Source organism: Homo sapiens, chromosome 7 (assembly GCF_000001405.40).
Source record: "Homo sapiens chromosome 7, GRCh38.p14 Primary Assembly".
Taxonomy (NCBI): Eukaryota; Metazoa; Chordata; class Mammalia; order Primates; family Hominidae; genus Homo; species Homo sapiens.
The window spans coordinates 110,908,729-110,927,059 of NC_000007.14; the positions used below are offsets into that span (position 1 = coordinate 110,908,729).

The 18,331-nt window shown below is 35.2% G+C and overlaps 1 protein-coding gene across 20 annotated transcripts in view, besides 1 other annotated feature; it reads right to left on the reverse strand.

The window, feature by feature from the left end:
* Positions 1 to 18,331, reverse strand: part of IMMP2L (inner mitochondrial membrane peptidase subunit 2) — an 899,849-nt gene that overhangs the window by 246,085 nt on the left and 635,433 nt on the right. The window lies entirely within an intron of this gene.
* Positions 605 to 899: a silencer, noted in NCBI's record as "tiled region #15683; HepG2 Repressive non-DNase unmatched - State 24:Quies". NCBI's record gives its function as "represses a minimal TATA promoter and a strong SV40 promoter by Sharpr-MPRA in HepG2 cells {active_cell/tissue: HepG2}" and the evidence as "EXISTENCE:reporter gene assay evidence [ECO:0000049][PMID:27701403]".

Genomic DNA, 18,331 nt, shown 5'->3' on the forward strand with positions numbered 1-18,331 from the left:
TAGATAACAGGGATAACAATGTAACAGAATAAATCTGTATCTATGAAGTAAATAACTGGATTCACAAATGAAATTTAAATTCCCAGTTCACTGAATTTAATAGTTATTTATTGAGTGCCTTGTAGGTGCCATGCACTGGGATGCAAAAATGTGCAAAAACCAATACACTCTCAAGGAACTTTAAATTTAGTAGGAAAGATAGACATTAATCAAGTAATCATTTAAAAATGTAATATCATACCCGTGGTAAAGACCATGAGAGAAAGGTACAGGAAGCCAAAAATACTTACAATAGGGGAATATGACCTAGTCTGAGATAGTGGAGAGAGCTACACAGGCAAGGAAAGCAAAGTTTCAGGCAGATTGAGAGCGTATGCCAAGATCCCGTGTTCAGAAGAAACCTAGTGCATCTGAGAAACTGAAAGGCCAGAGTGGCAGAAAGGCAAAGGCAGTAGGAACACAGTATGAAATGAGGCAGGAGTGGTGAGCTGGGACCAAACTGTGCTGTACTTTGCTGGAAGAACAAAGGATCTTAGTCCAGTGGTATTATTTAATCAATTGGTTAGGTGCCTAAATAAATAGTTTAGTCAAGATAGTTCAAACAATTGCTTATTCTGCGACAAGAGACATGAGTTCATTTTACACAGAAATTCAGTGACTGATGGCCCTAAAATAAATACCTTATAAGCCAGACAATGTAGCATGGCAGGGTGTAATGAAGTTACATGACTTTCACCTAAAGGTACTTGAGAAAACTTCTAATGCAGTGAAAGCACGAGAACGGTGCTGTGAGATTATTCTATTTCTCCTGCCCAGGAAACATCAGGCTAGGCTATATTAAGGTCAAATTTTGAAGAAGGAAACATTCATGTCTGCAGTCTTTTTTTGTGAACTTACTTCCCTCTCTCAGAGGCTACTCTCTGGGGTTAACAAAAACTCTCTCCACTTTCAGGCCCTCTTGAGTTGAGCACCTCCCTATCCAACAACAACCGTCTCCCTCCATTCATCTAGCCGTTTCATCCATCTCTATCCTCTACCTACAGTGGGCTCATAAACTCTACCTACCTTTCCCACCATTCATTAAAGTATATCTGTACTCTCCAAGAGAAGGGAAGGGATTCTTACTTCTGTGAGTTAGAAAAGCATCAGTGTTAAACAGAGGAGAGAGAGAGAGAGAGAAAGAGAGAGAGAGATAGACAGAGAGAGAGAGAGAGAGAGAGAGACCATTAAAACAGTAAATGTGCCAAGGAAGGAGATAGAATACTACTATGGACTAAAGTTGACTAATGGAACTTTTAAGTACAGAAACTTCAGTTAAGCCTAAGGTTAGGCTTAGGGAGGGAGGCTAGACATGATAGGCCATTTCAGAGTAAGCAAACCAGGCATGAAAACACAGTATACAGGAACGATGCATGCTAGGCTTGGGATGAAGCGTGAAATACTAAGGGAAATTTTAAAGCAGCATAAATGCAACAGAGAGCATTCACAGTTAGAGCAGTGATAAAAGTAAAATTAAGAGAGCAAGATCTTAAAGAGCCCTAAAAACTAAGGTGAGAAGTTTCATTTTTCCTCTCTTGATAGCTGAGATGAACTAGAAATCTGCATTCAGCAAAGTAACCTGATGAGAGCTGCATTTTAATCAAATTAATAAAATGAATCTTGTAGTGTTTATGTACTCATTCAATGAATATTGATTCAATTCCTACCATGTGGTCAAATGCAGTGCCAGATGCTAGGATTGTAGACAAAACCAGGAAGGGAAATTTTCATTAATAGAAGCGTTGAATTTTGATGTAGGATGGCAACAGTGTGAAAAGAAAGGAAGAATCAGAGAGACTTTGACTTTGTTATCATATTATTACATGTTAGTCACTGAGTCAAAAGAAGGGCATCAAAGCTGACTCCACAGTTTGAAGTCTGCAGGATGAAAAATTGGGTTGTATTTGGGGGGAAGGTGATGACACTTATCTATGAAATATTGAGTTTGAAGTTGTAAGTGATTTCGTCAAGTGGAAAGGTACCATGGACAGATGAAGTTCATATGTGAGACCTGATAATTCTCTCTTCTTACTCATTATTTTTAGTTGACAACTCATAATTCTAAAACCCTGGTATTTGCGACACATAATATTATGCCCAGCCATCGGGGAAGATATTGTTGATCTAGGAGAAGCCTGTATATAAATATTCTCCCTGTATGTTAATGTTATTGTGATTGAACAGAGAATGTAGCAAATGGGAAGGCTGCAGGATGTGGGAAAAACCAAGATATTTAGAAAAGAACATTATAATTTACTCTTCAATATATGTGAAGCATATTTACAAATATATATAATCACATATATGTATGTATATAAATGTGTATTTTTGAATGCTTTTCTACTTTTTAAACAAATGATAAAGATGAACAACCAGACATTAAAATTAGAATACGTACACAGTTAAAAAAAGGAAATTACACGACTGAAAATGGTGTGCACTCTCATAGCCATTTACCTAAGCTATCTTGTATAGTAAGAAGTTTACATCTGAAAGACAAAAGTTACAAAAATGCATGCATTCAAATTCAGCTTTAAAAGTGAAATTAAAAATATATTACAAAATGTAAATCAAAAGGCATTAATTTATGCTAAAATTGCCTTTCCCTCCAAGGGTTTCTAAATACTCAGCAAACTTTATTTTAGCAGTCATGCTCTAATTTCAATTATGTGGAAATTATTCTATCTTCATGAACATGAAAACAGAAGAATAAATAATAAATGGCTTGTCTTTGTTTAAATAGTACATTGAAACAGTACAAATAAAAAGATTCATACCCACACATGTAAATGCTAAGAACTCCTAATAATCCAAGTTGGCTAAAAAGAGGCTGAAACAGGAGTTTTGAAAAATTATCTGGGGGTCAGGTATCAAACTCATGGCATTGAACAGAATTGCAAATGTTTTTCCTTTCCCATTTTGACAGCAATATACCTATTCTCTGCTTCTGGCAACACAAACAACATATTTTCTCTAGCTTTACCCATATTTATCAAGGAAGAAAGAGACAACTATTACTGCTATCTACTTTAACCTGTCTAATCTTTCAATTCCTATTCAAGATTTCCTGGAAAATTCATGTATGTATTTCAAGCATTTGACGGGACAGTAAATATGTATCAAAATAATTTCCTCTACGGAAATTGCAGTAAATGCATTCAGAATTTTCTCCTTTTAAAAGGTAGAAGGAGTTCCTAGAGGAAGAAACTTCCTATAGTACATGCAATGTTTAAAAAAATATTGATCAGGCAACTACATTTCAAAGGTGTCTGTCTTGCCTTAAGTGAGAGGCTTCTTTCCAGTATCCAGTTATAATGTCAAAGGAGAAACAAATAAACAAACAAACCTAAGACAAAAAAAACAAAAACAAAAACCTCTCAAACACATTGTAAATGAAAGAAGGCGAGTTATCTATCTCCCCATTGCCCTTTTTTTAGTAGGCAATTTGGCTGTACCTATCAGAATCTTACAGCCAGTAAATTTAGAATTCTATTCAGCAAAAATAATTGCAAAACACATAAGAGCATGTGTATGAGAATGATCCTTAGAGCATACAGCCAAAAATGTAAACACAATGTAAGTGTTCAGGTAAGTAACTTAAAAATTATAATACATTCAAGCTGTGGGATGCTGGGCAGAGATAATAAATAATTAGTTAAATTGTGGTGATAATGTTTGTGATGGATCTCAGACTGGAAATAACACATTAAAGAAAATCCAAGCTCTAGATTAAAAAACACAAACACACACACAAACAAGCATACAGGTACATGTATGTTTCTGTGAGCATTAAAAATTATAGAAGGAGACACATTTAAAGTTTTTTTTTTTTACTTCATGGGGGTAGGATAATGGGGCAATTTTACAAAGAAAAGCCCTGATCTTTATAAAATTCAGTATTTGGGTTTTTATTTACAATGCCCATGTAAAAACAAGAAAGCAAACACAAAGTTTGACTAAATGCCAGTGGCTTCGTGAAAAGTAGTTGCTACTTGCTCCTAAGTTGATAATCAAGGTCTACATCTAGCCTGAAAGTAAAGTAGCAACCTCTCTTACTGCTCAGGAACTGATGCCTGAGATACCCTCACAACCCACACTATGAGAACTTGTGATTTTGCATCTCCTCAGCAACTACAACTTCCAGTATGCAGAATGGCAGAAAGGACACACATGGCTAGAGAGGGAATGGATAGTGGCAAACGACATTGTGGAAGGTGGAGATCATCTCATGATAAAGACAGATGAGTGAAGAGTAGTCAAGAAGAACCCTGGGAACAATAAACTTTGGAGGTTGTAGTTTCCATGCTTTGTTGTCAAATAAAATATAAAGTCTGACTTAGGATTACTAGGATATGTTTAGTCTTTCTTATAATTAGTTAAGAGGAAAATAGGAGCAGTTTTCCCCCTTCTACCCAGGAAGGTACCAGTAGACTAATAACCACTGGGTACTGGACAATAGGTAAGAGGCTATGTACATGCCCAGCTAAAAATATGACAATGAGATTTGATGCGCATCAAGGGACCAAAAGCAAACTAATACTTTGTTGGTTAGCAAATGCCAAGGAGCTAAATGTGAACTTTCTCAAGAATTCACAAAATAATTGACATCCATGAAGACATTCTGCTATATAAGAGCAGAAAGGGGTTACCATCTAAAACATAGAAGGAACTCATACAACTCAATAGCAAAAAAAGAAAAAAGAAAAAAAGAAAAAATCTGATTAATAAATGAACAAAGGACCTGCATAGACATTTTTCCAAAGAAGATACACAGACGAGCAACAGGTATATGAGGAAACTTCAAAAAGTTCATGGAAAATATGAATTAAAAGATAAAAATTTAAAAATGTGCAAACTTATTTCTCAACATAAGCTCCATCAAGGTTAAGGCAACTTGCTAAGTAATGATACCAGCCATTACTTGGTCTCTGAAGATCTGAGGGTCCTGGGAATTTAACCATGTCCATGCAGCTTCTTTTACACTGTTAACTGAAGAAAAATGGGTGTCCTTTAAAATTGTTTAACGTTAGGAAACAAAAAGAAGTCAGAGGGTGCAAAATGAGGACTGTAAATTAGATGCTTAATGACTTCCCATTGAAACTCACAATTGCCCTTGTTTGAGGAAAGAGCAGAAGCACTGTTGGGTTGGAGGAGGGATCTCAGGTAAAGTTTTCTCAGGTGTTTTTTTGCTAATAATTTGGCAAACTTTCTCAACACAATTTCATAATAAACAGATATTATCATTGTTTTGGCCCTCCAGAAAGTCAACCAGCAAAATGTCTTGAGCACTCAAAAAAACTGTTGCCATGATCTTTGCTCTTGACCAGCCTGCTTTTGCTCTTCCTGGACCACGTCCGCATCTTGGTAGCCATTGCTTTGACTGTGCTTTGTCTTCAGTCACACTGGTAAAGTGATGTTTCATCTTCTGTTATAATTCTTTGAAGAAATGCTTCAGGATCCTGATCTCACTCGTTTAAAATTTCCATTGAAAGCTCTGCTGTTGTCTGCAGTTGATCTGGGAGCAACGGTTTTGGCATCCATCAAATGGAAAGTTTGCTCAACTTTAATTTTCAGTCAGAATTGAGTGAGCTCAACCAATTGCATGTGACATCTATGAAGCTGACTACCATTTCTACTATTAATCATCAGTCCTCTTCAATTAGGGCATGAACAAAATTAATTTTTCTTCAAAAAGTGATGTGGATGGTCTGCTGCTGTGGGTTTCACTTTCAACATTGTCTTGTCCTGTCTTAAAATGAGTTACCCATTTGTAAATTGCTGATTTCTTTGGGACATCGTCCCCATAAACTTTTCAAAAAGCACCAATGATTTCATCATTCTTCTACCCAAGCTTTACCATAAATGTGATGTTTGTTCCTGCTTCAATTTTAGCAAAATTCATGTTGCTCTTTTCAAAGTGATGTCTTATTCTTCTCAATGCCTCAAACTAAGTTCTTTCAGACACATTACAGCAAGTTTAGTATGAGTTTAATTTGGTACAATAGTTTTTGAAATATGTGCATTTTTTTTATAATACATATATTCCATGAACTTTTTGAAGACCTCCTATATGAAAACACAATCAAAATCACTAATCATCAAGAAAATACAAATGAAAACCACAACATAGCACCTCATACCTATTAGGACGACTTATCAAAGACAAAAGATAACAAGTGTTGGTGATGGTGAGGAGAAAAGGGAACCCTTGTACACTTGGTGGGAATGTAAATTAGTACTGGTATTATGGAGAACAGAATGGCGGTTTCTGAAAAAAATTAACAACAGAACTATCAAACAATCCAGCAATCCTATTCCTGGGTATATATCCAAAGGAAATGAAAACAGTATCTTAAGAGGTATCTGCTCCCCCGTGTTCGCTGCAGCATTATTCATAATAGCCAAGGTACTGAAACAACTTAAGTGTCCATCTATAGATTATCAGATAAACAAAATGTGATGCACTCATGTGCACGCGCGTGCGTGCACGCACACACACACAAATATTATTCAGCCATAAAAAAGGAGGAAATCCTATTTGTGAGAACATGAATGAACCTGAAGGACATTATGCTACATGAAATAAGCCTGACACAGAAAGACAAATACTGTGTAATATCACTTATGTGTGGAATCTAAAATAGTCAAATTCATAGAAGAAGAGAGTAGAATGGTGGTTTCCAGGGCTGGGAGGGTGGGGGAAATGGGGAGATGTTGGTCAAAGGGTACAAAGTTGCAGTTATAAGATAAATACGTTCTGAAGATCTTATGCACAGCATGGCAACTACAGTTAATAATACTTGTATTGCTTACTTGAAACTTATCCAGATAATAGATTTTAAGTGTACTCACTGAGGACCATCTCCCCACATACAGTAGCTATAGATAGTGACATATGTGTTAATTAATTTGACTGTGGCAATCAATATACAACATGTATGTATATCAAATCATCACACTGTACACTTTGAATGTACATAACTTTTACTCCAATTGTTTTAAAATTAAAAAATAAAACATTATACTGCAAAAAAGAGAAAGAGAGAAAAGAAAACTGTTGATAGGCTTTAGAAAAGCTATAAGGATGAAAAAGTTAACAACACATTGTAGACTATTTGTGAAAATCATGCCATCTCCTGAGACATCCTATCAGATAATCTGACTAGTAAATTAAAGACTAATAAGGCATTTCTTAGCCAGTGTAAGGTTAAGTGTTTAACACAGCCAATACTTTTCTAACTCTGCAAACTGAAAACATGTTTATTAAAAGGCTCACGTCACATTGAATGGCCACATCTACATCCTTGATATGGTTATGTAGAGTTTTTGGGCTAATCAATTACAAAAAATAAAAAGAATTAAAAGAATTAAAAATCATTGCTTCGTTGTATGATTTAGTCATGCGAAAGTAACAGGACACTGCAGTCACTGTGATGATATTGGTAGTTGAAATGCAGCTTTTGACAACATAAAGTGTTTCTGTCTGAATGCTTGTAACGCAATCATGAATTTTCTCTCTTGGAAATGGTGATTCTTTGAAGCAGAGTCATATGGATTTCAAAGAAAAAATTTAACATTTTGTCTACTTTTTCTGTTCCAAAAGATATAGAGAAAATGCATCTGGTGTTTCTATGTCTTCCAACTCTTTTGTGCTACTACAGAATAGATAAGCCATTCTACTATTATATAAAAGTGGTGGGACATCGCTGGGATAGAAAATTTACAACAGAGAGTAAAAGTGAATCCTTGAAGATGTGAAAAGCCAATTCAAGTTCTGTTATAAAATGGGACCAAAACCATTAATATATTCCTTATTTTTTTACCTTTCCTACACTACTTCCTTCCTCCATCCCCACACAGATGCAAATATAGAACCAAAGTCTGGCAGGAATGCCAAATAATTGTAAGAGCAAAAATAATGTATGTTTTCTTTGCTTGTGGCAGTTTTATTATCATCAACTTGCTAATTTTATATTTCATAGTTTACTGGTAAACTTTTACTATGTGTAAGGCTGATCTAAAACAAAATGTCAATCAATGCTTCTATATTTGAAATATTATAGTTGGTGATACATTAATGGTTCTCAAAACATATTTTCTCATTAATAGATCAGTCATCACAAAATGAATCACAAAAAAGATGTTTGCAGTTGGTATAGTGGTCCCCCCAAAAGATAAATCCACATTCTAATCCCCAGAACCTATGAAGGTGATGTTCTTTGGAAAAAGGGCCTCTATAGGTGTAACTTAATTAAGGATTTCAAGATGAGATAATCCTGGATTATCTGGGTGCATCCTACATTCAATGATTAGTATCCATGTGACAAAAAACACACGTGGGAGAAACAAGTAGGGAAGAGAAGTCACATAAAGATGGAGGCAGAGAATGAGTGATACATCCTCAAGCTCAAGAATGCTGATGGTCACAAGAAGCTGGAGGAGGCAAGGAAGGGAATCTCTGGAGGGAGCACAGCCCTTTCAATACCAGACTTGTGGCCTCTAGAACTGTGAGAGAATAAATAACTGGTGTTTTAAGCCAACAAGTTTGTGGTAATTTGTTACGACAGCCTCAGAAAACCAATACTACATTTTTTTCTTTTCATGCCTTTCCTGTCATTCAAAGGTTAAAAATGATAACAATAATCACACCCACTGAACACTATCTGCATGTCAAAATAGTGATACGTTTCTTACAGTCTTCTTATTCAACCTTTTTAAGGACTCTGTGAAGATGACATTATTATTAACTCATATTTGTTGATGAAGAAACAGAACTAGGATTCAATGCCAAGTAGATCTGACTCCAGTCCATGCTCCTCCAGCAAAAATAGGAAAGAATGAAGAATATAAAGTAAATAAATCCTTCTTTGCTTGCATGTACATTCTAAAAGTCCCTGGAACGAAGGCAAAGAATAGGGAGACGGGAAACAAGGTGGACGGGTCTCTTCTGCTGCACTACATTTTTAAAAATCTCTGAACCATGTTAATGTATTATCTACTCAAAAATAAATTACAAAAGAAAAACATCAGTTGCCTGGCAAAAAGAAGCTGATAAATTCCCAATTGGATAATAAGAAATTAATGAAAATATTATAAATTTATGGGCAGAATGAACAATTTTGAGAATACTGCTAAAATTATATCATACATAGAAAAATATGTCAAGAAATTATTAGGTACTACTAGAGTGCTGCTCAAATAAAAGTCAGTCCCTTCTTATAATATTTCCTAAGTCTCCCACCTTCTACTTCACTTTCAATCATCCACTTTACCACCAACAACAGGCCAGGAGTAAATGAAATTAATGAAATATCCCAATGTTCAATGTACAAGTCTCTCCCTCAGGAATTTCTTTCCTTTCCTATTTGCTGTAGTTATTCAAAATTTGATATTATAGCCTAAGATAGTGTAAACCATTAGATGTCTCAAAACACAGATTATGAAATTATTACCAAGGGAGCTATAAATTCTTATTTGTTGATGATATTTAAGAAAATGAGGAACTTTTTTTGTTTTAAGTAATTTGCATTTAGACTTAGTTAGGAGAAGGAAGTAATTATGACCTCTGATGACATTCCTGAACTTACAGCTCTAAAACTTTAGCGTCTTTCACCATAATCCCCTTATTTAAGATGTGTGAGCTATAAAAATACCAAAATAAATAGGAATTTCTTTTCTTTTTTTCTTTTTTTTTTTTTTTTTGTTGAAATGGAGTTTCACTCTTGTTGCCCAGGGTGGAGTGCAATGGCGCGATCTCGGCTCACTGCAACCTCTGCCTCCAGGGTTCAAGTGATTCTCCTGCCTCAGCCTCCCGAGAAGCTGGGATTACAGGCGTGTACCACCACAGTTGGCTAATTTTTGTATTTTTAGTAGAGACAGGGTTTCACCATGTTGGCCAGGCTGGTCTTGAACTCCTGACCTCATGATCTGCCCACCTCGCCCTCTCAAAGTGCTGAGATTAAAGGCGTGAGCCACTGCACCTGGCCCCAGAAATAGGATTTCATTGTTATATTACTCTTCCTTACATCGCTCTTCTTGTCATTAAAAATAATTTCTCTAATAATTTTAAAAAGATTAAGAAAATAAGTCTTTATCAAAATAGTGACTCAGTTTTTCATTTTTATCAATTAGCATTTTATCAAATCTTCACAACTACTCTACATGCCAATAGAAATTGATGGTTCATCTTTGCCAGAGACATACACAAACCCCAAAAGATAATTGAGTAGATTAGAGTGAACACCAATAAAATCTAGGTCAAACTTAATAACCTTCAAACAGCAGCAGCCACAGTGCATACTAAATGTACCAACCATGAACTAGACATTTTGATGAAGTCAAAACCAATTCAGGGCCGCCTGAGGATGATCCATTTCCATATACTGACTTTTGCATGACTTTCCCTTTTCAGTATATTTACTTTCAAATGTAACTTTTATTTCACTACTTTAAGTGTTCAAAATGACAAGCTGAATCCTGGTAATTAATTTCTGATTGACTTTTCCTAATATGACTCACCAAATTAAGCCATAAGAGACAGAAACTGGCAGAGGTAGAAACTTGTGGTTAAGGTATAACAAACTAACTGAAACCTGCAAATAACCAGGATTTCAATATTAGAAATCACAAATGAAACTTAGAAAGAGCAGAATCAGCAAATTATACTGAGTCTATGCCAACCAAGACCTTTCTCATAGAGACTCTACTTGTTTTCAGGATCATTTACATTTAATTCTATGGAGCAATGCGGGTATGCTTTCAAGCACCCTAAAGTTGACAAGTGCTTCTGCAAAATATTTTCTTCCTTGTTTGTTCCTTGTTTGCATACCGGAGAGGAGATTGAACCAGAAATTCTCTTTTAAAAAGGGTTTTGAAATGTGCGCATTTTCTTCAATCAAATTCACTTATTTCTTGAAAAAAAAATATTCTAAGAGTACCATTGTGAGCTAAGGCATTAGGGAAGATAAACATAAACTGTGATGATTGCATTAACCAAGTGTCAACTTGATTGGATTGAAGGATGCAAAATAGTGTTCCTGGGTGTGTCTGTGAGGGTGTTGCCGAAGGAGATTAACAATTGAGTCGGTGGACTGGGAGAGGCAGACCCATCCTCAAACTGGCTGGGTACTACGTAAATTGCTGCCAGCTTGGCTAGAATAAAGCAAGCAGAAGTTGTGAAGACTTGGCTTGCTGAGTCTTCTGGCCTTCATCTTCTGTGCTGGATGCTTCCTGCCTTCAAACATCAGACTCCAAGTTCTTCAGCTCTTGGACTCTTGGACTTACATCAGTGATTTGCCAGGGGCTCTTGGGCCTTTGGCTATAGACTGAAGGCTGCACTGTTGGCTTCCCTACTTTTGAGGTTTTCGGACTCAGACTGGCTTCCTTGCTCCTCAGCTTGCAGACAGCCTATCGTGGCCTGTTGTGTCCATCACACCTTGTGATCACGTGAGTCAATACTCCTTAATAAACTCCCCATTTATATATACATGTATCCTATTAGTTCTGTCCCTCTAGGGAACCCTAATACAGTAGGTTTCTCCTTTCCAGAGGTATGCACCCTAGGTAGGGACACAGAAAGATGTGGTAAGTGACAGTGAAATGTGATGTACCAGGTGCCTATGGAGAACAGGGTTACTGATTTATTCTGGGGAATTAGGGAACATTTCACAGATGTCTTTGAGATAGAAGGCCACTGAAGAGCTAATGCTTTAAAGTTTTTGAAAGTGATTTGGCTTTTTGCTTTTTTCAGAAGGAGCTTCCCTTAGTATGCTCTATATTTTTGACATTATTGTGAGGCTTCTGTTAATTTGAAAGTCCTAATGCTGAGAATTGATCTTATGTGTTTCTACATTTTTGAAATAGTATTTTATATTTATGTGCTTTACCAAGCTTCTATGTATCATTATCTTTGTACATTTTAAGAAAGCAATGATCACTATGGGGTATGTCCCAATAATAATTATGGTTTTATTCATACTACTTCTTTGCCCCAGTAACTGGCAGGAATTTTTTAAAACATTTTGAGATAATTTTAGATTTACAGAGGAGTTACAAAAATAGTTGAGTTCGCATACACCTTTCACCCAGCTTTCCCTAATGTTAACATCTTATATAACCATAGCACAATTGTCAAAACTAAGAAATTAACATTGGCTTAACACTACAGACTTTATTTAGATTTCATCAGTTTTTCCTGTGAAGTCCTTTTTCTTTTCTGAGATCATGACCTTTTTAAAAAAATAATTTACTGAATGACTAGTTATTTAAGAGAGAAAAAAGAATAAGAATTAGAACTGCCAGCTTCTTAAATGAGAGATTCATGTTGAATAATATTTATTTTTGTTTATGTTTTGAAGCATTTAAGTGAGATAAGCTTTGTTCAATGTTGTTTTATATGCTACTCATTGTATAACATTGGCTGAACTCTGACAAATAGTAGCTACACAAAAATACATTTTTTCACGATTCAATTCTCCACACTTCACTGTTTTAAAACTGAAGGTGGTTCCTTACCTTGGGGATGGAAGGGTCAGTTCCATCTGAGGAGGTTTCTCAAGACAGTGGCATCTATAAATTCCCTTCTCTAGTGGGAGAGTGGTAGCTGCAGGCACTTATATGGAGATGTTCATCTGCTAGAAACAAAAGCTCTTCCACCATCTAACATCAAAGCAAGAGGTGATTTGTCATAGGGATCATTGGACATACCTCATTATTCCTCTGCATTATTTCTTATCTAATTAGCCAATAGAGACAAGATGCTTTATTCAAATTACCCTCCCTTTGAGGGATATCACTGTAAAGTGCACATAAGAATTCTAGTAAACCAGGCCAAGGAGAGAAATGCCTGAGATAACACTCCCCTGCTTGTTTCTTCTGTTCTCCTATTCAGACTGGAAGCATTGGCTGGGATCACATTATGTTTTCATCTATTCAGTAATGTGAAAGCTTGGATCTTGGAATAACAAATGTGCTTAACTACCCATGGCATACCACAAAGAACATTATTTTGACATATATATGAAAACTGGAAATATAAATTGCTCTGGCACAAGGAGGACACTTTATCTCTCCTAGAAGTTAACAGTAGACTACTCCAAGATAACTTTTCAGAGCACTGCATTTTAATAATTCTCCAGAGTCCTTGGCATTAGTCAGAAATTATCTTTTCTTGCAGTGGCATGTCTAATGTCAGTGTACTGCAAAGAGCTTGCACCACTGCTGGAACTTGTATGCTTATTATAGATTTGGTTCATTAGCTAGAAAAAAACATTAACAGCCACAGTATTTCCTTCCATTAAGAATAAGCTTCAGCTAGTGTGTTTCACAACTCTCATATGACAGAGTGCCAAGATGCTACAAAAACAAAAATTCCACTTTGCTTTGAAAATAGAAGCATTTAAAGAACTGTAGAAATAGCTGTTACCTATTTAAGAGGTCACTGGAAAGACTAGTGGTCTGGAGAAAATGTATATGGCAATGTTTGTAAACTGTAAAGAATTATGCATACATCAGGCTTAAGTGCAATTCTACTTCTTTATGTCTTCCACAAATCCTTGCATATAAAAATACTAAGATGTTTGTCAATTGTCTATTATGTTCTGTCCAAAGGATCCTGATAGATAATAAATGACAAAATCATTAGTTATATCTCAATAAACCTAATTGAAACATACATGTAAAATACAAAACTCCCCATCTATTCTTGATATACTTTGATATAGTATTTTAGCAGGGTTTTTGTTTGGAACTATCTAAATCCACTTGACATAATCATTTCCTCATGAACGGATTTTAAAAATTAAGTGACTCAAACTCCATGATAAATGCTTAAAGCCTTAAAATATTGTTTTTCTTCTCTTCACTTAATCTACTGGTTGGGTTAGGCTCAAGGAACCACAGAGATTAGAAAGATTCTGATCCAATATCACTGTCCTCTTTTATACACATGAAGCTGAACTTAGAATCATGAAAAATTCTGCAGCCACCGATTGTAAGAATATGAGGCTGATGTTGCTTCAAATGTATATCATGAGCAAACTGTTTCTCGCTAAAGTCTGGATGTAATGTTTTTCTCATCAGATTGATTGTCAAGACCTTCATTTGATGTGTAACAAGATAAAACCTGGGAAGTGGTGGACTCTGATTGATTTTCTGATTTGCCCCGCTGCATGGCACAGTCAACAATTAGATTGGTTGTTTCAAAGCCTTTTATTTCACCATTACGAATTTCTACCTGTAAAGAAACAAGCCTATGGCAGTTGCTGTGGTGATCGTGCCTATGGCTAGGCCCCAGGCATAAGCAAACACATACTGTCCTGACATACCAGTAACTACAAGTTTCAAATTTTAGTCCTTTGACTACAAAACAGAAAAAGAACATGTAAACAGTGAGTCATTTGCCATTCATGAATCAGCTTTCAGTGATGAAGAAACAATGAATACAACTATTATTATTAATGTCCTTCTTAAGAAAAGTAACTCTTATACTATCAAGGGAACTTCTATGGCTTGACCATAAACACAGGAAAAAGAGAAACTCCGGTAAAAAGCATTGTTTTGAGAATAAATTAAAATAAAGCATTTGATAGGGACACTTACCCAGCAAACCAATCTTCTATATAAAGACAATGTATATATGCATTTGGTGTCATTAATAGCATCAAAAACAAACAAACAGAAAGTCTTAAAAGAAAAATAGAGAGTGAACTCATAGAAGCATAAAAGGTGAACTCTTAAATATATTGGATTCTCCCTGAAAGGAGGCTTTATTATATGTCTACACACATTTTACTTTTAAGGGAGGTTCTAACCTTTTATTAGTAGAATATTTCAAAAGAATTCACTAAGCCTTTTATATTTAAGCATTACTTTTTCATAAAATAAAATCTATCAAATATACTTTATACACAAATATTTTGGTCACAGCTCATTATTACTTAATTAAAATAAATTGCCAACACACTTATAATTTGATCTAAATTATGACTCAAAAGATCTCACTTTTAAATTAGAGTATCACTCCTATAAATATGACATTATTCTTTGTTTAGGCATTCCTTCAAGGTAGACTAAAACTGATTTCTCAGAACTTACCTTTTTGAAAGTTATATCCCAATGCCCTACAGGTTATCTCACATTATAGCCTGATTGCTAGTGATTGACAAGAGAAGCCCAGGAATAGCCCCCCACTGATGCACAGGGGAATAAAAAGCCTTCCTCCTTCCTTGGCCCTTAAGGCAGCATTCAGCTCACCTTGTAGCTCAGTCTCAAGTTTACCTGAGTCTAATGTATGACAAAGGAATGATTCCCATGATTATTGAAAAGTCTGACTTCTACCTAAAATGCTCTTTTCCTCACTTTGTGATTTCACATAGAGCACTGATTCATTTGAACAGGCAACCTTTATCAGCATGAAGCCAGGTTTGGGCCTATAAGAACATAGACAGCACTGTTTCTCCCCAGTGTGTCTTTAATTTCCTTTATTACAGCAAAATTGAGAAGAGGCTTCTGGTGAAAACGTTTGTAGTTCTGCAGGCAGATAAAAGGGTGTGGATAGGGATCGGGATTTATTTTTGTTTCTCTTCTAAGAAGTCCTCTGGAGGTTCCATTTCAGCGCTACCTTTGCCAACGGAGTCCTGCAATGACATACCAGACTCATTAAAGGGGCCCCATCCTTCTGGCCAGTCACAAGGTCCTCTTGCTGCAGGTACCAGGTTTATCCTACGTTTCTCTCACTATGGGGAACTGGGCAGGCCGGTTTTAATATTAGATATTCTAATAATGTAAATAAAGGGCAGATAATAACGTCCTCACTAGGAAACAGGATTCTCAAGTTAGAGAAAAAATAAGTAGATAATTGGATGTCTAATTTTTTTCTTCAAATAGCTTCTTTTTAATACTTAAACACCAGTGCTGAGACTCAACAATTTAAATGGCCTCATTTCTTCTTTCAGTGCTTTGGAAGGTACAGGAACAGCATTTCCCACCTTTTATCCCATCTACGTGTTCTAGTTATTGCTCCAAAGTAGAATTGGTATACACAGCTGATTAAACAATTTGAAAAAATGTTCTGGTTCATGCCTCTGCCACTACACTGCCTTAGAGCCTTATATTTCAAGAAAATGGTATATTCAAAAAAGGTTATTTTCTGTTAAGAGAAAGATAACAAAAGGAGCTATTAAAAACTTTCAACTACATCTAACCATTCATAGTTATGCATGATAAGGGAATAAAAAGGAGTATGATGAAGAAAGATGTTCTTTTGAAACTTGTATTGCTGGGGTGAAAAATGGAATCGTGGCATAAGATGTGTGGGGGAAAAGATTATAGCAAAGATATTAGCGCTAAAACAGAGAGACCAAGGAAGATTAGCTTTTATTTTTCTATATGGATATAGAAATATGGATATAGCTTTTATATTTCTATACGGATATACTGTTGAGTGAACAGAAAATAAACAGTTGAACATATATTTGGATATGTGGTCTTAAAAAGTTAACTCTAACTTCACGAGTATGGCCTTACAAACAGACATCAAAGTCCTTCTAGGCATAAAGCATGTCGGAGGAGGCATCTTTAAAAATGAAAACAAACACTTCAAAGAACCTATCCCCCGGATACTCTCATAGCTGTACCAGGACACACACTTGTTTTTATAACTTAAAAATAAATTTTTTTTAATTATACTTTTTAGATCAATGCTGCATTCAATTTGCATGTAGATCTACTGACATTCTGTCTGAGATGAAAAGATACGAGACTACTTGACAGGCATTCAGAATTTCTTTATAATCTCCTGCTTCATTAGGTAGGAAAAAACACATCAATAATCAAGTATAGATACTTAAATGAAAGAACATTAAAAAGTTGGTGAATTTGGCTATTAAGTAGTCCATGTAATTATCTTTTATTCATTCATTTCACAGTCTGTGTCCTATATTGCTTAATTACAAAGAAAAGAGTAGACTGCTCATGTGTACACTAACTGCTAAATGTGTAAGCAAACGAATGAATGATCCTGTTCTCAATCCACGAGAAAAGAAAATATTAATGAAGAGAATACAAAGAAGGCAAAAATAGGAGGATATAATCAACAAAATTATTTACTACCCTCTTAGTAAAACATGGTTATGAACACATAGTATAAGACCTAATTTAGATAACTCCCATACTTGATCTTACTCACTATATTCATACTCCAAGTTTTTTAAAAATATATTACATCAGATTTAAACATCTGCAAAAAATATACTAATGATGAAAAGTCAATTAATGCAAGGATGGGAGCCCTAGAGTAGCCTCTGTATATTTTCTAAGAGGCTATGATACTAAAACATTAAAACAACAATTTTTTTGGTGATTTTCAGTATTCATATTCTACAGTAAAAAGATTTAAATTGTTTAAGTATATAATTGTACTGATATATTACCTCTATTCAGGTGAGAAAATTCCTTTATCCCTATTTATAAAGGTGTTCTTTTTAAATAGGAAGGATTCACATTTAATTTTATCAGATGTTCCTTCTGCATCTGTTGAAGTGACCATATAACAAGTTGTAAAACAACCATTTTGAAGCTGATACTTTTCATCTTCTATTTAACCAAGAGAAATGGTTTCTATATATTTATGTCTGAAGTGTTTTCATCTAAGAAGTAAATACCAAACTAGGTTTAAAAGCCTACAGATCTGCCCTTATATGGCCATGCAATTTACTTTTATTCATTATTCTTGTCAAGAAATATAATCCTCATCTCTTTCATGCCTAAGTCTTTTTAAATTTTTTATTACAATATACAATATTCATGGAACATCAATTAAAGGATGTATATGTATTCCGTTAATTTTTCTCATCTTTAAGTTTTTGCTTATATTCTTTTTAGTCCATTTGAAACCTGTATACTTGGAATAAAGGCTTTTGCAACTTGTAGAATGATTTTTTTCCTGAAACATGCTTTGGTGCTAGCACCTAGAAATGCTATAATAAACATCTCTATGAATTTTATCATTACAATTTTTTTGTACAGATATTGGTGAGGCCATCATCTTTTATATCACACACAGTGTCCTTTTATGAGACCCATGAAAAAAGTTTTATTTACTTGTTATCCCCAAGAAAAGCTGTTCAGGGGACACTGTAAATCTTTTAAGTGACTGTGCAGTTTTAAAACATGTCTGCAAGTTCTTTGACCCTCTTTCAATATAATTCCTTGCCCTTGAATTTGGTCTCACTTTAGTGACTCACTTCTAATGCACAGAAACTGATACAAGTGATGCTGCAGAATGTTTGGAGGT